Here is a 22,282-nt window from a genome sequence, read left to right on the forward strand (position 1 = left end):
CCAGCCTCTGGCCTCACTTCTGCCCTTGGAGATGCTGGCGCCCAGAAAGGCAGCAGGCAACGCAGACAGGTGACTTTCAGTCCTGAAACATATATTCTCACGTTGGGTACCTGCTGTTTTTAATGACTAATTTTTTCCCCCTGATACAGCCATCATTTAGCAAATACCAGGGCTAGTTATTAATTTAAAAACACCTTCAGCCTGTGCTTACAGAAACTGCCATTTCCCCCCTCGGGAATGAGTTTTTCGTTATGTTTTTAAAATTAGCTGGCGCTTGAATTTCATTTTCCATCCAAGCTTCCCTGTTATCTGTAAGGTCACAGAAACACATAGGCCGCGGACAGTCCAATCCCAGATATTAGGCTCCCGGAATTAAAAGCTGAAATAAGTAAATAAAGAGAGAACGCCCAGGGATTTTTTCAGAGCAGAAAGCCGGTCCCCAGCGTGACGCGGAAGCCAGGTTGCCTCCTCAAGTGACTCTTCCCTTACATTTGGAGGTGAAGGCTGAGGAAGAAGAGGTGACAGAGAAGGAAAAAGGCCTGTGCCCTATATCGCCAAGATCTGTTTCTTCTCCGCTCAGCAACGTGAAAGAATGAGAATGCATTCTGGAGGAAGAAGGGAAAAAAAAAAAAAAAAAAAAAACAAGCGCTGATTGTCCCTTTAAGCCATTTCAATCACAGTCTCGCAGTTAAAATAATGCTCACCTACTGCGCTTCCAACTGGGCCATCTACCTTTTCCGCCGGGTCAGGCCCAGTCAAGCCTGAGGAGGCGGCCGCGGCCCTCGTGAGCCCGCTCTAGGCCCGGTTACACCTGTTTATCACCAAGTCGCTTCATTTCCCTTCCCCTCCTCCCTGCTTGAAAAGGAGCATTAATTAAACCGGTAAACAAGCCGGCTCCCATTCTAAATCAGAGCTGCAGGCAAAGGAGAGATAACTTAGGCTCCGGAGAAGAGGGATTTTCAGTTAATTTATGGAATCCACCGTCACACTCTCTCCGAGCAGCCAGCTCCCCGCTTAACGGGGAAATTGAAGCAGACAGCCTTTGTCTAAACACTTCTTTTGCCCAGAATATCTTAATTTTCCTATTTGAATGTTTAATAAGGTTTGGGGTGCAGCAGCTTCCTTTTAATTGTGACGGTGCGGCCGCTTGGGCGTGATCCCTTGGCTGGGGCTGCAGGGGGCCCGTCCTCCAGGGGCGCAGAGGGAAGGACCAGCGTTTCCAAGCCGGGCTCTGGCCGCCGGCGCGAGAGCGAGGCCAAGGTCTGGGGGCAGTTCAGGGGGACCCCGAAGTCGGGACGGCCCAGAAACGCTTTGCCCACAGCCACCGCCCTTTCCTTTGTGAGTTTCCCCAAAGCCGTCGGTGCGACCCGGCGCCGACTCTCCTCCTCTTCTCCCTGCGAGGGCCCGCGCCGCCCGGGCCCAGTCCTGGGGGATAGATCCCTCGGGGCCCAACGGCTGGGCCACCGCCGGTCTCCGGCCACTGCTGCGAGGACAGGCGCTGCCTAACTAATTTCTCCTCTAAGGGGGCTGTGCGTGCGTCTCCTTCCCAACTGATGTCTGGAATTTCACAGTGTAAGTGGGATTCCCACTGAAATTGTAGTTTTCCTAAGATTACAGACAGTCCAAGAAAAACAGCTCGGTACGTCTTTGTCATTTCCTCTGTAAACCTTCAGGAAACAACACAGGAACGTCTTACATAGACTTTAAGTCAGCCTGCTTTTCCGGGTGGCGTATCCAGTAATCATGTTGACAAATTAATGGTAGAGAATTAGTTGTACATTAAAGATTTAAATTATATTATGCAGCACATTGTCATAAAGTGATATAAAACAATAGGAAAATAAATGTAAATGAATTCAAGTTACTGACATGTAAAACGCCAGACTGACATCTGTACACTTAGCTACTCGCTCAGCCGCGGTGGCGGGGCCCGCGCGGTCCCTCCGCAGACTCGCGGGCCGGGGGAGGCCCTGCTGCGGCGCCGCGGCGTACCAAGGGTTAAGCGGCGCGGCTCGCGGCCCTCCCGGCTCCCCTCCCCTGCGTGTTGATTTTCAGGCCCACCGAGCCGCCCGAGAAAGTTTTCAATTCGATGGGGCTGCAGCGTCTCAGGGGCTGAGCTCCTTAGAAAGCTTCGGGGGCCCCCGAGGGCCGCCTTGCGGGGAGGGGGCGGCTGCCCCGTCCGGGACCCGCTAATTACAGGGATTCGGTTTCCCCGCTCTGAAGGAATGCATTACCTGCAGCAAAGGAGGCGCGGCCTCTCAGGAAGGCCCCGAGAGGAAGCTGAATGCCCCAGTGCATTCCAGCCCCATCCCTAGGTTTATACCCGCAACCTCAGCCCATGCTGAGAGACTAATCGCTGGGCCATTGTCAGGGCTGTTGTCCAATCAGCCCCTGAATAGGAAAACTTCACAATGCCGAGTATGAATTAGAGGGGAACAAATGTGGATGCAGACTTTTTTTGCAACAATACCTAACTGAGCCTTTCAGACAGGACAACGGATGCACAAAAGCTCGACGGAAATTGGAGTAACTTTTGGAGGCCCTTGTAGCTGCCGTCAATAAGCGTCAGCCCCATAATGGCGGCTGCGCCTCCGCCACCAATTCCCCCCCAACGCTTTTTTTTTTTTTTTTTTTTTTTTTTTTTTTTTTGTGAGATGGACCAGTTGTTCATGGGGTGGGGGCAAACTGTTGTAAAAATTGGGCATTTTTGTTGTCCTTGTCTTGGAAACGGTGGCTCTCTGTTGAACGCAGCCAAATGGATTGTCTCTTCCTGACGTGGATTGTAGATTTGGTCATTATCTAGCCCACATAAAGTACTGACAATGTCCCCTCCCTCCGTCTGCCCACCCCCAAAAGAACAGAATAGCTTCTTGAGCTGTACAAATGTCAGGTCTCTGTTTTAAAATTTAGCTTTGTTTACCCAACAGAATGGAATTCATTACTGTGTAAAAGTGGCTCCATTTTCTGATCTTTTTATTCAAAATGTTGAGAGTATCAAAAAGCTCATTTGAAGGTCACAGGTTTATGTATCTATTCTCTTAAGTGTTTTAGAAATTCATAGGGAGGACACAAAAGGTGGAAAATGTGAAAACATACTGTTCATTGTTTATCCTAACCTTGCCATGGTTATTAGATAAATGAGTGTAGGGGAAAAAATGGCATTAAAAGCCATTGTGAACTGGGAATTTTTTTCCCCTGAAGACTGTTAATTTTAGCCCTTGATCTGTACAGGTCAATTTCTAATTCTTTTTACTGTGCAGTTTATATAACTTCTGCATTTCAAGTCTATAAAAAGCTTTTGCAGACTTTTCATAATGTAAGTAGCAATTTATTTCATTATGGTCTGAATTTTTTATGTAATTCCTATGGACATTCTGATGAAATTGTCAGGCTTAAAAGCTGTAGTGCTTTTCATTTGGGGATATGTGGACTTTTTTTTTTTTTTTTTTTGCTCCGGTCCATTCTTGCTGGATAATTTAAAATTAGAAAGATTAATCAGTTCAGTGATTTAAAAGACCACACTTTGGTTGGAACAAGGTCTGAGGCAAAATCATTTTTTTATTAGTAAATGATTTAAAAGGTCTTTTCAGCTAGTTATCTGAAGCTGATATTTAACTGTTACTTATTCCACTAATTTCTATCTTTTGTTAAAAGAACTTTCCAGCCTAAATCTCCTCGCTCTGTCCCATGCTAATTGCAGCTTACATTATATAAATGGCTTTGTAAAGAAAACTATAACTCCAAACCTTGAAAGTTGCGTGTTTCTATTTGCTCAAACTTGATGCACTTGTTTGAAGAGGGTCATTGCAGGGAGAGCTGTGTAGCCTGTAAGAATGTCCTGGATAACAAGCTTAAACAGAACCTTTTGTTGTGCCTAGTATTCTCAGGACTCCAAAATGAGGCCTCCTTTTTCTAACTGTGGGCTGAAGTGGTTCATTACTGCTGTTTCCTCCGCCAGGCCAGGGCTCAGCCATTCCCACTACTGAAGGTCTGTAACTTCCTTAAAAAGGAAGAAGGAAAACATGGCCCAGAAAGGTCTTGTTAGCACTTCCTATGTGAAATTAGCAGCTTTCTAAAAGGTACAACTCCAATTACCTCACATTGTGGAGGCGAGCACAAACTCAACAATATGCACAGCCCAGCAAGTGACATTCTGTCTTTCTAGAGTTACTTCCCTAATTAGGAATGAAGAAGCTCTATTCTGCTGAGTGCATCTATTTACAGTGGCCACAATGCTTTAACTTGAGCATCCTTCTCAAAGACCAGTGTTAAAAAACACAAGTGCTCTTTTCGCCGAGCAGGCTATGGTGAGGCGACACATTCCTAACGGTTACGCCCTCGGGGGGGGGAGAAGAAAAAGTGTAGCTGCTTTGGCAGCATTGTTAACACTTCAGGATTCATTTTCCACAATAACGCCCCTGCCCAGAGAGCTCTGGGAATTACAGTGGACAATGGGGAGGCATTCTTAGGAGGGTCTAATGATGGAATAAAAAGAAAAATATTTATTGCTTTTGACAGTTCCACAAGGGGCAAAAATCCTTGTCGTGGCTAAAGTTTCCCTAGCTGTTGGAGGAAGGCGGCTCACTGGGACTCAAACAGTTCCACTTCCTTTGTTAGGAGGCTGAGTACCAGGGCCAAGCTGGGAAATTAAAGATTAAGTTCATTAAGGTAAGATAATTGTGCGGAGGCATTGTTGTTGATACAGGTGGAGTGATAGGGGCTGGGGTAGGAAGCCCATTTACATGTAGGGACGACCCATTAAACAGGCTTAACAGACGTGCGAGGCAAATATGTTTATTATTTGCCTGATGGCTGACCTATGCTTTCACTGTTGCATTAGTCAACGGCCCCCCCCCCCAAAGGAGGGCCAGGACTCCCTGCCGGGAACCAGGTGGAAGTGAAGGCAAAACAGTCTCCAGCGAGCAAAGATACAGTCCTGTGGGCCCTTGGGGAAGACTGGCCTTTCTCCTCCCTCCAATGTCCTGTTACCCTGCTACCCGAGAGGACCAACGCCCCTCCAGCTAAGGAGAGGAGACAGTGCTCTCCCACCTGAGGGATGTCTTTAAATCTTTCTGGATGCTGACAGGAAACATTTGTGCAGAAGCGCCCTTTGGATGTCCTTCTTAAAGAAGACCTCACGCTCTCTTTTCTCCCTCTGATAGGAGGGAGATACCCTGATTTTCCATCAGGGAGCTTCTCAAACGCTTCCTTCCCCAGTGTTACTGACCTCCTCAGAATCTGACTTCGGGAATCTGGGCTGCCTACCTTCCATTTCATTCTTCTAAGAAAAACAAACCAAACATCATTCCCTGTCCCTGCCCTATCTGTCCCACACGCACAGATCCACCCTGCTTTGTTATTGAAAACTGGAGTTTGGCTTTGTTGGGAAGAGCTCCACCCTGCCCCCTTCCCAACTTGGAGACCTATAAATACTGAGAACTTTAGAAAAACAAACAAAAGTATGGGATGGATGGTGGAATTTTGGGGAGCATGGGGGTCCGTCCTTGCGATCTGTCCGAAGGGAGGGAGAAGGTGGAGAGAGAGGTGCCCAGACTGTGCCCAAGTGGCTGAGAATGTGCCCGGTGCAGTGTTCAAGAAAATTATTTCTTCACAAGCACCCTTATTTTTGCTGTGTCTTGGGCAGGAGGAGAAAGATCTGCATTTACTTTTGTTGGGGTCACTAGTTCATCATCTCTGGTTCCTGCACTTATTTTTTCTATTTCTGGTGAGGAACTGAGAAACACAGTTAAGGGTTGGAGATGTCTTTGATAATAGATATCCCGAAAGAAATTCACTTGTTTATTTGCGTGATAGGGTCACCTCTTACACAAAAACTCACCTGCCGTCCTCTCTTTCCCCTCCTGCCCTCCCTCCAGTCCCCCAGGGAGGAAAATGAACAGTGGCATAATGATTTTGGTAAATAGAATTCTTTTTAAAGCCATCTGATCACGGGGAGACATTCTGAGAAGACCCTAGGGTTTAGTCAGTGCTGATGTGTAAAAAAAAAAAAAAAAAACGACTTAATTTCAGAGAGGTTTTTTAAAAATATATGTAGATGCAATCACATGGTGAGAAGAGTTTCAGGAGTTAAGAATAAACGTATTTTGATTCATTCAGATTCTATGATCTCTCCCTACTTGTTGCTGCTGTTATTTTCTCTGAACGGAAAGATTGTTGATTTCCTTTAGCTCACCAAGCATCCATATTGTAGAGTGATGCGGAGAGTCCTTTGGTTATTTTCATAGATTATATCAGAGAAGTTTTTGAATGAAGCATTCTCAGTATTATGTATCTGTGGGTTTGAGTAGAACTTGAAGTAATTCTCAAGCAAGCAAGCAACATTTACCAATGTTTTTCTCCTCTTGTGTTGATGTCAGGAGTTCTTTTTATTTATTTCTATAAAGCGTCCTTTGTCCTTGAGAATGTTGAATAGACTTCTTACAAAAGTTATCAGAGGCCAGTCTGATAAATCAGACGAGAAATTAGGAACATCTGAGTTATTTTCTAAGATGGGTTAATGAAGAGATGAGGATTTGCATTTTCTTTTAAAGACCTAAGGAGGGAGGCAGGGTCCTCGGCTGTCACATTGTGATTTACCAGAAAGCAGAAAGGAAAATTTCATACACACCAGATTCCAGGCTGCAGGTTACTCGGAATGTATTAACTTTTTGAGAACAAGTGTGTAATCACTGGCCTTTAACGACTAAAAATGAAGTTTGAAAACCTTGTACAATGTCCTCAGAATGTTTGTGTGCAAGGAAACATTTATCTCCATAAACAGCCCTTTAACGGAAAAGAAAAACTGTTTTGCCAATAATCAGAAACGAAAAGATTGCTCTCTAAACTGGAAGAAACGACATTTATATTTTCAACCCTACTGAACTACTGAATTGAGATTGTTAAGAGGCTTTTTCTTTACTGCATTAAAAAAAATAGCCTGTCATCACATTGTCATAAAAGGAGGGAAGTCTCGTTTTGGAAATTATTTACAAGTTTGACGTCCTTAGAAATACCACCTTGAATCTGGAACTGTGATTAAAGTTGGTGAAAGGATGGGAGTGGAGAGACTGCACGTCTGTGTTCTGGCACTTGGAACATTTCTCGGATGGGGAAGAAACCCGGAGACTTCTTTCTCTTCCTTCCCTTTACAGTGTGATGGGAACATGGTGGGGGGCGCAAACTGGAGCAGCCAGGGAGGGGTCTGCAAAGCCCTGTAAACACCTCTCACTAAGCCATGAGTCCTTTACATATTTCAGGCTATTATTTGCATCACAGTTTCTGGAAATTCCGTTGTAACTTTTAAATTTTATCTATTAAATACTGATTTTCGTTTTTAAATAAAAAACTTCCTACTTTATGTTTTTAAAAATTTTTAAATAAAAAACATAAAAATGTTTATGGGCTCTTTTGTACTTTACAGTGGATATGAAAAAATGAGAATATACCTTGTTGAATTTAATGAAAGGTTGCTATTTCCTAGTCTGTGCAGTTCTTTTAAAAATGGAGGTGAAATTTACATAACATCAAATTAAACATTTTAAAATGTACAATTCAGTGTTATTTAGTACATTCACAATGTTTATCTGTAGTTTACTTTCTAGTTATAATTTTAGTTACAGAATCACCAACAAGTATTTGTAGAGTTGTTATTAAATATTAATATTCATTCAACAAACATTTATTGAGCAAATTGTTACAAGAATGGCACTAGGCTAAGCCATATGGGGTTTATAAAAATGAAAAAGGACTATCATATCCTCATATTTTTTTTAATCTACGAGAGGTTGTGCTAAAGGCATCAACAACTTTATTCTGGAAATATTTATTGAATTTATTAATAAACATTATTTGGCCCCACAGAGTCTTATCATTCTAAAACATCACAATATTGCTAAACATTTCTCAGCAACAATAGCCAATATAATTAAACTACCTACAAAGAGTTGAGAATATTTACTGTACTATATTTCTCAGAGTGATTTTATTTTCTCTGACACATTCCAGAGTTTTCAAAACTTATAATACGTAAGTTGGACTTGGTTCAGTATGTTTGCTTTGATGGGCATTGACTTTGTTTGGCTAGGTCTATTATTTCAAAGTGAAAATTTCTGTGTAGTTTTTTGTCAAACTCCAGCTTATATGGCTGAAAGAGGGTAGCAGGAGGCTCCAAGAGGATAGAAGTCACTTAACTTTGCTGGAAAAGCCATGCATGTTTCTCAAGGGACTCTAAGGCAAATGGTTCAGCACACTAGAAGAGTAGTAATATAGGTAATGAACCCAAGAATATTTTTAGCCGCAACTAGTTTTTAAAGATTGAAATTGTTTAATGTTAAAAAAAATGCTCTGTTAAAGCATTTATCTTTTCCTTGAAGGTATCTGTCCTTCAAGTAGAATCTGAATTTTGATGATGATGATGATGATGTTGATGATGGTGGTGGTGCTGGTCCTGAGGTAAGGGAGTTGGCACAAAGGAAACGTGACAAAGACCTCGTCTCATTAAGGCTAGTTGATACAACTTTGTGTGATCAGTTAGTTGAAGGGTCTTCTTTGGCCTCCAATATAGGAAGAAAATAACAAATGGACAAATATTAATTGAGTCGCCTTTCAGGAAAGGCTTTGCGTAGCTTCATTTGGGGGAATAAGCGCAGTAGTGAAAAGAGCTCAATGGTTGGGAGTTCCAGTCCTAGTTCTGCCACTTTCTAGTTGGGTACTTTTTGGCAAATTACTTGTCTGCTCTGAGCCTCAATTTCTTCATCTGGAGGGACAGTAATAGCTGCCTTGCATGGTCCCCTGTGAGGATCAGCACTAGTATGATGCTAAGTACATCCTCCATTCTCAATAAATCAGTAATTGCTGAGACAAATACACATACCAGGTCTGCTTGCCATGCCTTTCAATGACAGAACAAAGTAGAACATTCCACCGGGACAAGCAAAGCACCTTTTGGTGTGAGTTTTGCAAACCATAAAACATCAAATTAATTTCTCATAGTGTGTATGACTATGAATGGAGGCATGGAGGCTTCAGAATTAGTATTTTGAATGGGAATGTTAGAATCTATACCTCTGTTGAATACCATCTCTTGCTGCCACTGAAAGCTTACAAATACTACCTGAAAAATTACATCAATTTGCCATCAGACTGGAACCATCAATTTATGCCTGAAATGTGTCAAAATGTTGGGTATTTCTATAATGATAAAAATGATTGGAATTGCCATGTTTAATTAAAATGTTAATCCACTGTCATCTTAAATGATCTCTATTTACAGAGAATTTTCTGTTTGCTGTTAAGATGTTTTATTATTAAACATAAACCTTGCTGTTTAGCCAATGCCTGACACTAACTTAAGGAAGAGGTGACAATCTTCCAGGAGTGGGGAGAGGTGACCCCTTCATCAGGAGAGTGTCTCGTATAGGTTGGAGGAGGAGTGACTGCTGCGTGGGAGCCAGAAAGACCACCCTGGCTCTCAAATCCTCCACAGCCTCTGCTCCCTTATGTTCAAGATCTTTTAATGGTAGAGTTGACTGAAATGCAAATATTTTTGGAAAAAGGAACACCAAAGTTTGAATTTGCAAAAGGATGTAAGATGCCCAATACCAACCCCTTTTCTGGGAATGAGGTTGAGAGGTTTGAGGGTTACAAAATGGGAAGAAGTCTATCTGCAGAATTTATAACTGGCTGAAATTGACCTGAATCCGAGGAAAACTAGATTTCCTCTGTGTGTGTTGGTGGGAAGGTGGGTGAGTGAGGAGCAAGGGGCACTGAAACTTTGTGCCCCCCTTTTTTTTTTTTTTTTTTTTGAGACGGAGTTTCGCTCTTGTTGCTCAGGCTGGAATGCAATGGTAAGATCTTGCCTCACCGCAACCTTCGCCTTCCAGGTTCAAGCGATTCTCCTGCCTCAGCCACCCGAGTAGCTGGGATTACAGGCATGCACCACCACGCCCAGCTAATTTTGTATTTTTAGTAGAGACGTGGTTTCTCCATGTTGGTCAGGCTGGTCTTGAACTCCCGACCTCAGGTTATCCACCCGCCTCGGCCTCCCAAAGTGCTGGGATTACAGGCGTGAGCCACCGCACCCAGACGAAATTTTGCCCTTAGGGAACTGATATTATGTCTACTTTCTGGCCCAGGGGATGGCTGGGTACAGGAGCAGTCTCCCTTGAGGTACAAGAAGAGATCCGGAAAGAGATGTGGGAAGAGATTTGGAATAATTACAAGGGTCCCTGCTTGGTGTGGCCGCCATCTTAGATTGGATGTAGTCCGTTCTGCCTGGGTTACTCTGTACAAGTACCCTTCCCGTGTGACTCTTCCAGAACTTGGAGGATGTCTCCACTACACTGCGCCTTCCCTCCCTCTCCAGATGGCCACACTCCCTCCACACCTTGGTTAATGCAGCGCCCCCTCCCGCCCCCGGGTGGGCTGCTCCTCTGACTTCACTGGACTCACTTCCTCCTGTGATTTGCAGTTCCCCTCCCAGCCCATTGCTTCTTGGGGTGGTGGCTCCGTGATAGGACACCCGCCACCCACTTCCCACTCAAGCCTTTGTCCCATGCTACTCTGTGCAGCGTGGGCACTTTCTTCCTGGCCTGCAGGACAGCTCCACAGCAGGTGGCGGTGCAGCCGGTCAGCCTCAGGCCCACACGTCCCCTGCGTCCCCTGCGTCCCCTGCGTCCCCTGCGTCCCCTGCGTCCCCTGCGGAGCTACTGTGCTTGTGAGGCTCCTGGAGCCCTGCCCTTCCCGCCGTTAGCCTGTTCTGCTTAAAGTTCTTCCTCCATCTCCCCCAGCCAAATCCTACTCAAGTCATACCTCCTCCGTGATGCCTTACTTGACCTTTCCAGCCTTCTCTGGATAACAATCATTTTTCCGAAATTGCGGTAAAAATACATAACACAAAATCTACCCTTCAGAAACCTTGTTCCCACTGAACACTTACGTCCACTCCCCCAAGCCCCTAGTCCCCTCTAATCTGCTCTCTGTCTCTATAAATTTGCCTATTCTAGGGATCTTATATAAGTGGAATCAAAATATTTGCCCTTTTGTGTCTAGCATATTCTTTTTTAAAAAACTGAGATAGGGTCTCACTCTATTGCACAGGCTGGAGTATAGTGGTGTGCTAATGGCTCACTGCAGCCTCGACCTTCCAGGCTCAAGTGATCCTCCCACCTCAGCCTCCTGAGTGGCTGAGACTGCAGGCTCGCACCATCATGCCCAGCTAATTTTTAAATATTTTGTAGAGATGGGGCCTCACTGTGTTGCCTGGGCTTGTCTCAAACTCCTGGGCTCAAGCAATCCTTCCACCTTGGCATCCCCAAGTGCTGGAATTACAGATGTAAGCCACAACATCTGGCCATGTATTTCACTTAGCATAATGTCTTCAAGGTTTGTCATGTAGCATATGTCAGAGTTTCATTCTTTTTTAAGGCTGAATAATATTCCTTTGTGTGTATGTACTACATATTGTATGTTCATTCATATGTGCTGGACATTTGGGTTGTTTCCACCTTTTGGCTGTTGTGAGTAATGCTACTATTAACATTGGTATACAAATTTGAATCCCTGTTTTCTGTTCTTTTGGGTATATACCTAGGAGTGGAATTGCTCCATCATATGGTAATTCTATATTTAACTTTTTGAGGAGCTTCCAAACAATAATCATTTTGAGAGTGAACGATAGTTCACATTCACATGGCACCTTATGGTTTACCAAGTGCTGGCTGGTCCATTGGCTTCTCAGAACAAGCCTGTTTGACAAGTACTGTCATTAACATCACCTTTACTCAGGTGAAGCAAGTGAGGCTCAGAGAGGTTCAGTGACTTTATGAGTCACAGAACACATTGATGGGGACTTTACCTCAAAGTAAAATTGTGTGACTGTGCTACCATAAGTTTTCCAAGGCTGCATGCTACCGTATAGTGTTCCCTCATTGCTTTATCCCAATGCTAGAGTAACCCTTAAGTCACCATGATTATGAATGTGTCTTGACTCCCTCGCCAGGCTGCCAACCTCAAGGACAGGGGCTATGTCATGATTGTCTCTCCCATACTGTGCAAGGGCTGATACATAATAGGCTCGCAATAAATGTCAGTTGAATGAATAAGTGAATGAGTGGGTTCTTTATGGAGAGGGAGGTGAAAAGAGGGAGGAATGCCCCAGAGGGCTTCATGGCACCTTTCTGTTCTGCCCCAGACACAGAGGTGGAGCTGATGTCTTTGCATTGGCAGTGACCTCCACCATCAGTGGGAAGGTTATCAGAGAGAATACAGGACTCCCAGTTAAACTTGAATTTCAGATAACTGATGAATAATTTTCTTTAGTATAATACATGCTTATATGAAAAACTTATTCATTGTTTATCTGAAATTCAAATTTAACTGGGCATCCTGTATTTTTATTTGCTAAACTGGCAGCCCTAATCACTAGGTACGTATTACTTACTGTCACGTCACCAAAATCCTCAGAACTGCTGAGGACGAATAGGAAACTGGCTTTCCAAAGCTGAATTGCTAACTACTTTTTAATTTACAAAATGCAAATGGGGGGGCATTTTCTCCTAAATGGAAAATAATCCTACACCTGCAGTGATTTAATTCCCATTTGAAATTGCAGTTTCTGCTGCCTCCCAGATAGCTCTGCTCTGGTGTCAAAATAGTGTCTGCCATGCCTTTGGCTAATTCTGGCGCCCAAGCCATTCACGCTGGGAAGGTGCCTGCTTGTGGCTATTTGGGACATTCCCTGAAGGCTGACACACAGGGATCCCCCTCCACTCACTACTATTCTGACATGTGGAATTTATTACACTCCAATTTCTGCAAGATCTTTTGGGCTTGTCTGTTCTATAATCCAGAACTTCCTGACCAAGACTTAATTAGAATCCTGACTCGGTTCCCCCATAAGCCTGTTTTAAATTGTGGCACTGGCTAGAGACGCTGCCTAATCTCCCTGAGGGTCCTCTCAAGTTCACCCGAGACCCCTGGGATCAGTTCTTCTCACCACATATGTCTCAGACATCTGGGAAGGAAGGAGGTGAAGGAATCTAGGTGAGGTGTACAGTCACTGTTGCTTTGACCAGGTTGGTGTCTTTGGGGGCTGGGGATCTAGGGGGCTGAGACTCAGGGTGGTGGCAGAAAGGGTTGTCAGGATGACCCAAGGGAGGAAATAAGACTCTTGCATTGGTGTTTACTCAGGGAGTATCCTCCTAAGTAGTGAATGATCACCCTTCCCTGCTGCTTTTCTAACTCGTCTAATTTAATATTGCCAGGATGCAATTACTTATGCGTCTGCTGATTTGGGGACTTTATTTTTTAAACATTAGCTTTTCAGACTTAGAAGCAGCTGGGCTAGTGAAAAGTCACACATTTGGGGTCAGGGAGTGGTGGAAAGAAGGTGGCGGTGGCTCACCCAGGGCCTTGTGAACAGCAGCCAGGCGAATGGAGTGGCCAAGAGCACGGATCCAGCAGATACTGCAGCTGCTCTGCAACTCAGAGCACTTTCAGAAGTTTGGGGTCCCACCCAGAGAGTGATGGGGTGGGGAAAGGGCAGAGAGATCACACAACCTGGGGATGTCCCTGTTATTTAACATCCAAACTTGATATCTTGATCTTAGAAAGTTCCTGGGCTAAGGGACTGAGAAGTCTGCATTCTTCCAGGGCCTCAGTTTCCCTTGTGCTCCAAGTGTAGAGGACAATCTCCCACTGTCATCTGGCCAGGGTGAGGGGGCACGGCAGGAACTGCAAGAGGGTCTGGCATTTTGCATATTTAGGAAGACAGGTATCATCCAAAGTAGAGTTGGAATAGGTACAAAGTGAACAAGGTGGAGAATGCCCTTCCAGAGCCATGCAGGGGGTGGGGGAAGGCCAGGATGTACAGTGGTGCCGTGAAGGTTGAGTTATTCTGTGAGAGCTCTGCTCCCCTCTGGAACCAGGAAATGGAATTTGCCTTATAACTTAAAATCCCAGCTATACTTGGGCTGTCACTCATTTGAGGGGACCTGGTGGGACCTGACTGATGTGGGGCAAGGCAGTCCAGAGAAATCAGCCTGCCCTGTGGGACTTGTCACAAAATCCCTAAATGTCCCAAACACCAGGGCTGAGGCTGAAACAGAGCACTCAATGGGGAACTCATCACCGGATATCCCATTCCATCCCATCTCTGGAGGGGAGAGTCATCTGGGGTAAAGTAGCCCTAGGTTGGGTTTAGAATCTGTGACCGAAAAAACTAATTTTGCTATCACGAGAGACCCAAAAAGGACATCCATGGAGATTTCACCCCCTGATTACAACCACTTATCGGATTATATAGAAGACCTGACATGTGAGCTGCCCCCTGGTTAACCAGTCAACAAGGAAGGGGCAGAGAGGAAGAGGGAAGATCACTAAGAGGGGAGAAGGCAGGGTAGGTTCTGTGGGGACTGTTAAGCCCCACAGCCCTTGCCCCATTAGGAGGGGCCTCCTGGTAGACACACAGGAATCATCGAGAGACTTCTGAACCCTCAGGAAGGGCCAAAGAATGGACCAGGTCTCAGTCCTCCAGAAGCCTGAATCCAAAAGACAACCCCTGTCCTCTTCCTGGACTTCCCTTCCCAGCCAGGACCCTCTCTGACCGGATCAACAAAATGTGATTATTTTGCAAAGGTCTAAGAAATCAGATGATGAGGTTTTATAATCCCAACTTCTCCATCCTCTTCCCTTTGTGGAATGTTATGTTCATTCCAAATTAGTATCAGGAGTGGCTTTGCTGGTGGCCTATGGGACAGAAGGTCTGGCTGGTATGGAGGGGGGCTGTGAGCAAGCCACGTCTGTGACTGGGGGGCCACCTGGGTGAGGTAGAGTGTGGCCCCTCAGGATGCTGCTGTGAGTGGAACTGGAGAGGAGGCAGGGGGCTGAGGAAGGGAGCAGATCACTCCCTGAGGTCTCCACTCCTCATTCCCCTCAGCCCGGGCCTCTCTCCCAGGTCCCCTTATTCCTTGCCACTTGTGCGTTGATGATGTGAGGATGGCCAGAGGGGAGCCAGTGTGCTGGCCTCTTGTATAATCTGATAATTGGCCATAATCTGTGTACGAAATATTTGGAGATCTGCCTCCCCATTAACTCCTGCTTGAAGAATAATCACATCTCCACATACAGGCCTTTGGGCCAAGTTCTCCCTCACATCTCTGAAGCTCCTATCACAGCTTCAGTGCTACCCAGGATTTTTGTAATTGCCCACACCCTGTTCATTTTTAACTTTTACCACACATTTTTAAAGAAATAACCTTTAAAGAGAAGGCCTTCCATGGATGTCTTTGAGTAAATATGGGAGTATTAATAAAATTCTTTTTTTTTTTTTTTTTTTTTTTGAGATGGTGTCGCGTTCTGTCACCCAGGCTGGAGTGCAGTGGCATGATCTTGGCTCACTGCAACGTCTGCCTCCCGGGTTCCAGTGATTCTCCTGCTTCAGCCTCCTGAGTAGCTGGGATTACAGGTGGGCGCCACCATGCCCAGCTAATTTTTTATTATTAGTAGAGATGGGGTTTCACCATGTTGGCCAGGCTGGTCTCAAACTCCTGACCTCAGGTGATCCACCCACCTCAGCCTCCCTAAGTGATGGGATCACGGGTGTGAGCCACCACTCCTGGCAATAAAATTCTTAGAAGCTGACAGGAAGGGGGTCTGTTAGGCAGAGCGTGCATATGCTCCACGGGACCATAAGAGGGTCTTAGTGAGAATCCTGGGCGTGGGGATAAAACACTGTGTGTGGGGATTTGTGTTATAGATGTAGAAGGACAGCGATGCCTTCGGTTGTCATGGAAACAGCACACGGAGGTTGTTGAGATGTGGGACAGTTGGGTGGCCGGCCTGACACTCTGGGGTAGCCACAGCAAGCCAAGGACGGGGTAAATGTGGAGACGCTGGTCTAGAGCCCCCTTCTCTGGGAGCTGGCCTCTGAGTCTGCTCTTAGTGTGGGAAACCACTTAAGGACAGGAGGAGAACAGAAGTGAGAACCAGAGGGGCTAGGGACCCTCTCAGGTGTTCAGTGCTGGTGATGTCTGTACAAAGAGAGCTTTTCAGCCCTTCAAGAGCCCCCCAGGGCAGGAGGAAGCAGCCCGAAGCAGGACAACCCCAGTAGGTTTGAATCAGCCTGGAATAGCGTGTTGAGTTGATGCTACATCACTGTGTTGATTTATTGATTCATTCAGGCAGGGCTGGCATTATAGGGCAGATGGACTGTAGGTGGTTCATAGTTGATATTTGAGGGGAGGGGGGTACCAAAAGAGCCCTTCTGTTCCCAATTTCCCTCCAGCACTCATCAATGTTACCATCTGAGTTTTATGCCTTTGGCTGAAACATATCCCTCCTGGGGCTCTTCCTCTCCATTGCAGGCTCTCCAGGAGGAGCCCCACATTGAATCACTGCAACCTCTTGTGGACTATTTTATCAAATGCTTTGGCAGGACCAGAGCAGCCTGGACTCTCAGGGAACCTGGCTTGGAGAGTGCGTGCTGGAAGAAGGGAGAAGGATGAAGAAATGGGAAGTGAAACTTTCCAGAGGTAAACTTTTCCATTCTCCCAATTTGTCCATCTGTCCCTCAAGGCCCTGGTGGGTAGCAGAGATGCTGTGTGCACGGCATTGCCTACAGTTTCCGGACACTTCTCTTTTCTGCCATGCTTGGCCAGTTCACTCAGGAGGTTGAGGGGAGGCTGCTCTGAAAGGAGGCCGTCGCTACCCAGGATGTGTGAGCTGTGAGCTGTGACATCCAAGCATTAGGAAGGATCTGCTGTGGTGCCTTATTCCAGATGCTGCTGCTCGTCTCTTCCTGCGCTTGGCCTGGGATGCCCTGTGAGTAGATTTGCCAGATTAAATGCAGGAGGCGCCATTAAACTTGAATCTCAGATCAACAGCAAGTGAATTTCTAGTATAAGTATGTCCCACATATTGCATAGAACATAATTATTGCTGTTTATCAAAAATTTGCATTTAAGTGGGTATCCTGTATTGTCATTTGCTGAATTTGGCAACTCTAGCTGTGAGTAACTTGGAATTCCAGGGCCCTGCTTGGCCTTCCTTTCCTTCAACATGAGGCTGCCGTGAAGATAAGCAATAGTTTCTATCCTTGCCCCTCACCCCCACCATCTCCTGCTCCTTTCCCTGCCTCCTGTCTTTTTCTTCCTGTTTCCCTTCCCCCAATCTCTCTCTCCAAGAACAGAAGTTTTAGAGTCTGACACACCCAGACACAATCTTTGCCTCCCTATTTACTGCCTGCATGATCCTAGAAAAGTAACTTTACTTATTTGAGCTTCATGTCCCTTAAGTAATATGGAAATGATAGTAAGGCCTCATGAGGCCACTGCTAGGATTAAGTGAAGTAATAGAAAAAGAAAAGGCCAATTATGGGGTTGATGTCATTAAACCAGCAAACAGCTTTTGAGCTGACAGCTCTCCACTCCAACTCAGGGATTTATGTGCACAGGTGCTGTCTGTTTTCATCCCAACCCAAGTGCACACCCTGGCACCTCTCACAGTCCCCAAAGAGGCTTTTCCTAGCACCATTTGTGAGTAGTGGAGACTGCATTACGAGAAACAGTGATACCACTTACTTTGCAACCAACCTCAAAACTCTAGGAGACTTATGTTTCCTCCATTGTCACTCTGAGGTTTCTTTATTGCTTTTTCTCTCTTTATTAACTCTTCCCCCTTCTGCATGTGGTGGGCAGCCTCTCTCTCCTGCTCCCTCGCAGTGGTGATGCAAATCTGGCACTTCACACTCTGCAGCCAGTTAGCAGCCAGCTTTTGCTCTTGAGTTTTCCTTTCCTGCCTCACCCTCCTCTTGATGTCATCTAGCCTTTTGATGTCATCTAGCCTTTTGATGTCATCTAGCAGATTTCCTCCAAGCAGGCACAAGGCTCTCACCGAGAGGAATTCTGTGGAAGTTGATTTTCTGCTTATCCTTACTCTGTGTGATAGGGCCCAAAACACTTGCATGTAGGATACTCATTTACATTAATCCTTACAGCAACTCTGTGATGCAGGGATTGTTAGTACTCCCATTCACAGATGAGGAAACTGGGGCTTAAAAGAACCCCTACAAATCCACAAGGAAATGATCTACAGTCCAATAGAAAAGGAATTTTCAAAAGGATCTGTAAAATATGGTACCCATCATATAAAACTTTAAGCCTGTGAAAGCAGCATATATTTTTATACAGAGGTTCCCCCAACCTTTTTGGCACCAGGGACTGGTTTCGTGGAAGACAATTTTTCCATGGACCAGGGGGTGGGGGGATGATTCCAGCACATTATATTTATTTTGCACTTTATTTCTATTATTATGACATTGTAATAGATAATGAAATAACTATACAACTCACCATGATGTAGAATCAGTGGGAGCCCTGAGCTTGTTTTCCTGCAACTAGACGGTCCCATCTGGGGGTGGTGGGAGACAGTGACAGATCATCAGGCATTAGATTCTCATAAGGAGTGTGCAACCTAGATCCCTCGAATGCACAGTTCACAATAGGGTTTGAGCTCCTATGAGAATTTAATGCCGACACTGATTTGACAGGAGGCAGAGCTCAGGTGGTAATGTGGGCAATGGGGAGTGGCTATAAATACAGATGAAGCCTCACTTACTCACCCGCCACTTACCTCTTGCATGTATGATACTCATGTATGAACTGTGTACTCCAATTCCTAATAGGCCATGGACTGGTACTGGTCCGTGGCCTGGGAGTTGGGGACCCCTGGTTTTATTATAGATACTCACATATTCAGTAAGTGTTTTTCAAAATGCACTGGAATAATAAACACCAACTTCAAGAAACTGGTTACCTTTGGAGAGGAAGGAAGGGGAAGAGAAGAGGATTGTTTTAGCTAATTGTTAACCTTTCAATTCTTCTTTCAAAAAAGGGTGATAGGAAGTAACTATAATGCAATGTTTATGTCTTTAATGCTAGTGGAAAATACATGAGTACCTCATATATAAATGTAAAGATTATATATAAATACTTGTTACATAGTTCTCTGAAATATTTTGTCAATAAACTGAGACATTTTAAGAAAAAAGAGATTAAATAACCTCTTAAGATCACCCAGCTGGGAAGAGGCAGATTTCAAGGGTTAGATTTGAACTCAAGTCCATCAGACCCCAGAGATAAACTCATAACCACACACCTTATGTCTCCCTTAATTTATTGACATAAGTATTCAATTAATGGTCTTTCTCTTTGTGTCTCATCTGAGAGTTTATAAACAAGAGTAGAAGTGAGTCCCTGGGACCCAGTGTTCCCCACAGGCCCTGCTGGTGTCAAGCAGTTTTGCTCAGGCAGTCCTCAGCAGTTTCCTGGGTTCTGTCCATTCATGTACAGAAGAAGACTCAGGCCTGCCCCCAGGGTTCACTGACACCATAGGGTCCATCAGAAGACAATGCAACAGCCAGGTGCGGTGGCTCATGCCTGTAATTCCAGCACTTTCAGAGGCCGAGGCAAGTGGATCACCTGAGGTCAGGAGTTCGAGACCAGCCTGGCCAACATGGTGAAAACCCATCTCTACTGAAAATACAAAAATTAGCTGGGCATGGTGGTGGGCGCCTGTAATCCCAGCTACTTGGGAGGCTGAAGCAGGAGAATTGCTTGAATCCAGGAGGTGGAGGTTGCAGTGAGCTGAGATTGTGCCACTGTATTACAGTCTGGGTGACAAGAGTGAAACTCCGTCTTGAAAAAAAAAAAAAAAAGGCAACATAAGATGCTGGCAAACAGAATATGTCAAGATGCCTAAACGTAACCTTGACATCTCAACAGGCCTGGTGTGAAGACAATGGCCTAGGGTCGTGCAGAGGCATGGGCTCCATATGGGTCCTTTTAGACTTTGTGGAGCCACCCAGGAAGCTTCCAGAAATTTTGTTTTCTGAGTCCTCATTGAAAGAGTATTTCCTCCTCCTTGTCTTCCCCTCAAAATAGCACCCACCAACCATTCCTATCATCCTTGTCCTCTCAGAAGAGTGGGGAACCAAACGGGAAAGGGGGCTCCTGCCAGTGCACACAGACCCTGGGCATGGTGTACATACAAAGCTCTCCTCCCACCACACCCTACCTCGAAGGCCATGATGGCCAGGCCCAGGGCAGATGGGAGTCAGTGCTCCTGCCCCTAAGCCCTTACTCTCCCCGGCACCCATGTGCCTCTCACTTCCAGAAATGCCTTCTCTTTTGTCTCCTTTGTTCTATCCATCTTTTAAGGCCTATTTAAAAGCCCACCTCCTCTAGGAAGCCTGCCCCGATTCTTAGCCCACAGTGGCCTCTCACCTCAGAACTCCCACAGTATTTGCTATTCGGAGCTCTCGAAAGCTCCTGATGCATTGCTGGGTTCCGTACTCTTTCCCCTCTGCTAGTTTGACCTGTGCGTGACTGCAGCTCAAGGCCTGAGCTTCATTTGTTCTTTCCCATGGTACTTGGCATGCCGGGCACACTGTAAGCGTTCAATAAGTCTTTGCAAATAAACCGATGAAGGAAGAAACGAATAAAGCATATTTGAAGAAGCTCTGAGAAGTTATTCCTAATGAAGGAGACAGCCCCAAACCAGGTCAGGTGAAAGTCAGCCCATCCCAGTCTGGCTTCCAGGAAGACCTTGGACACCCTCTGCCTGGGGGAGGAGCTGCTGGCCTTGGAGGGGCAGGAGAGAGAGAGAGGGAGGCGCAGTGACCAGACTGGATGCGGATGTAGTAGGTGCAGGGGTCACTTGGGGGGGTTGAGGGGAGACCTTGTCCTTGACCTCCCCTCATTATATTTTTGTTTATTTTTCTGTTTTTGCCCAATTACCTCAGACAATGCCCCATACTGGCTAAGAAATGTGAAAACAGCTGAAGAAGAAATAAAGCAAAAGAGAAAAACAAGGAAAAAAGGGTAAACAAAGAGAGAATTCACCTTTCACTCGCCTGCAAAGTCCTCGGTTGGAGAATGAAGTTAAGACACAAAAGCTTAGCAACAACAACATTGTGGGGGAAGGCACGAGAGGGAAGCCGAACAGCCATTAAAGCAATTAAGAAAAGATTAAGGTCGCTGGTGGTGGAGAGAGAGAGAGACCCATTAATCAATAGGCCAGAAATCGCAGCAGGCTACAAAATTATAAAACTAGGCAAACTGGAGAACCACAGAGGCTCACCTCAACCAAGATGCCTGAGTAACTCAAAAACAGAAACATTATATTCATTTCTCAAGCTTGGGGAAAAAAAAACAGGTCTTAGAAGAACTCTTTCCTTTTAATCAGCTAATGGAGACTTCCTGAGGTGGGGGTGAGATCCATGTTGATTTCAAGGCAAATTCTAAAGCATCAAGGTCTAAAGAAAAATTTGTAATAATGAGTGATAAACAATGTTAGTGGGCTGAGGGGATATCATAGCAGAAAGCTGTGCGGTAATCTTAGGCAGGGTCCTAAAATGCCCTAGGGTAGGTTACATTATTGTTCACAAATATTTGCTGCCCCTGCCTGGGGAAGACATACATCCCAGCCCCACTGACAGCCCGCTTGGCTCTCTGACTTGCTTTGGCCAATGCAGTACGTGTCCCTTCCAGGCGGAAGCTTTAAGAGCCAGGGGCACATGGTTTGCCATATGCTTTTTGTCCCTTTGCAATAATAGCACAGCAATATTCTAGATCCAACTTGTCCAACCTGCGGCTGGCTGGCCACCTGTGACCAGCTTTGAATGCAGCCCAACACAAATTCATAAACTTTCTTAACACATTATGAGATTTTTGTGTGTGTGTGATTTTTTTTTTCTTTTCCCTCATCAGCTCTCGTTAGTGTTAGCATATTTTGTGTGGCCCAAGACAATTCTTCTTCTTCCAATGTGACCCAGGGAAGCCAAAAGATTGGACAATGCTGTTCGAGATAGATTCCCCAGACTGAAACTAAATGGGGCAAAGGCTCAGCCGACAGGCAGAGGACCTGTAACCTGAGCAAGAAATAAATTTTGTTGGCTTAGTACTGAGAAATGGGGGAGGAGTGTTTGTTCCACAACCTATCCTGATTAATACATTTCCCTGTGACATGTCACTGCCACACAGAACCTTCATTGGCTCCCTATTTCTTACAGGATAAATCCTGAACTCTTGGTCTTGATATCAAGCCCTACTCCCTGCACCCATTCATCTTAGATTCTGCATTTCTCTTTGTGTCTTGATTGACTTGTTTCCTCACTGTGCCCCACACATAACTTTTTGGGCAAGTGTTGGTGAAGTTCTCCTCTGCCAAGAGATCCAAATTGTGCAGGCCTTTGATCATGCTCTCTCTGACACCTGCTCTGTAAAGC

At 45.4% G+C, this 22,282-nt stretch overlaps 1 long non-coding RNA gene across 1 annotated transcript, besides 6 other annotated features; it reads left to right on the forward strand.

The window, feature by feature from the left end:
• Positions 234–1,034: an enhancer, noted in NCBI's record as "OCT4-NANOG-H3K4me1 hESC enhancer chr2:45028054-45028854 (GRCh37/hg19 assembly coordinates)". NCBI's record gives its function as "activates a minimal SCP1, AML or CMV promoter by ChIP-STARR-seq in naive and primed H9 embryonic stem cells {active_cell/tissue: H9 hESC(naive and primed)}" and the evidence as "EXISTENCE:reporter gene assay evidence [ECO:0000049][PMID:30033119]".
• Positions 1,035–1,835: an enhancer, noted in NCBI's record as "H3K4me1 hESC enhancer chr2:45028855-45029655 (GRCh37/hg19 assembly coordinates)". NCBI's record gives its function as "activates a minimal SCP1, AML or CMV promoter by ChIP-STARR-seq in primed H9 embryonic stem cells {active_cell/tissue: H9 hESC(primed)}" and the evidence as "EXISTENCE:reporter gene assay evidence [ECO:0000049][PMID:30033119]".
• Positions 2,099–2,931: an enhancer, noted in NCBI's record as "OCT4-NANOG hESC enhancer chr2:45029919-45030751 (GRCh37/hg19 assembly coordinates)". NCBI's record gives its function as "activates a minimal SCP1, AML or CMV promoter by ChIP-STARR-seq in naive and primed H9 embryonic stem cells {active_cell/tissue: H9 hESC(naive and primed)}" and the evidence as "EXISTENCE:reporter gene assay evidence [ECO:0000049][PMID:30033119]".
• Positions 2,099–4,919: a biological region, named in NCBI's record as "VISTA enhancer hs541".
• Positions 2,749–4,919: an enhancer, noted in NCBI's record as "VISTA enhancer hs541". NCBI's record gives its function as "enhancer in: forebrain[6/9]" and the evidence as "EXISTENCE:transgenic organism evidence [ECO:0001131][PMID:17130149]".
• Positions 3,953–4,472: an enhancer, noted in NCBI's record as "NANOG-H3K27ac hESC enhancer chr2:45031773-45032292 (GRCh37/hg19 assembly coordinates)". NCBI's record gives its function as "activates a minimal SCP1, AML or CMV promoter by ChIP-STARR-seq in naive H9 embryonic stem cells {active_cell/tissue: H9 hESC(naive)}" and the evidence as "EXISTENCE:reporter gene assay evidence [ECO:0000049][PMID:30033119]".
• LOC105374573 (uncharacterized) lies at positions 16,291–22,026 on the forward strand. The gene is made up of 3 exons (XR_940038.3): positions 16,291–16,529; positions 16,656–16,818; positions 20,798–22,026. It is a non-coding gene; the product is annotated as an uncharacterized LOC105374573 (long non-coding RNA).
• The last annotated feature ends 256 nt before the right edge of the window (positions 22,027–22,282 follow it).

Source organism: Homo sapiens, chromosome 2 (assembly GCF_000001405.40).
Source record: "Homo sapiens chromosome 2, GRCh38.p14 Primary Assembly".
Classification (NCBI taxonomy): domain Eukaryota; kingdom Metazoa; phylum Chordata; class Mammalia; order Primates; family Hominidae; genus Homo; species Homo sapiens.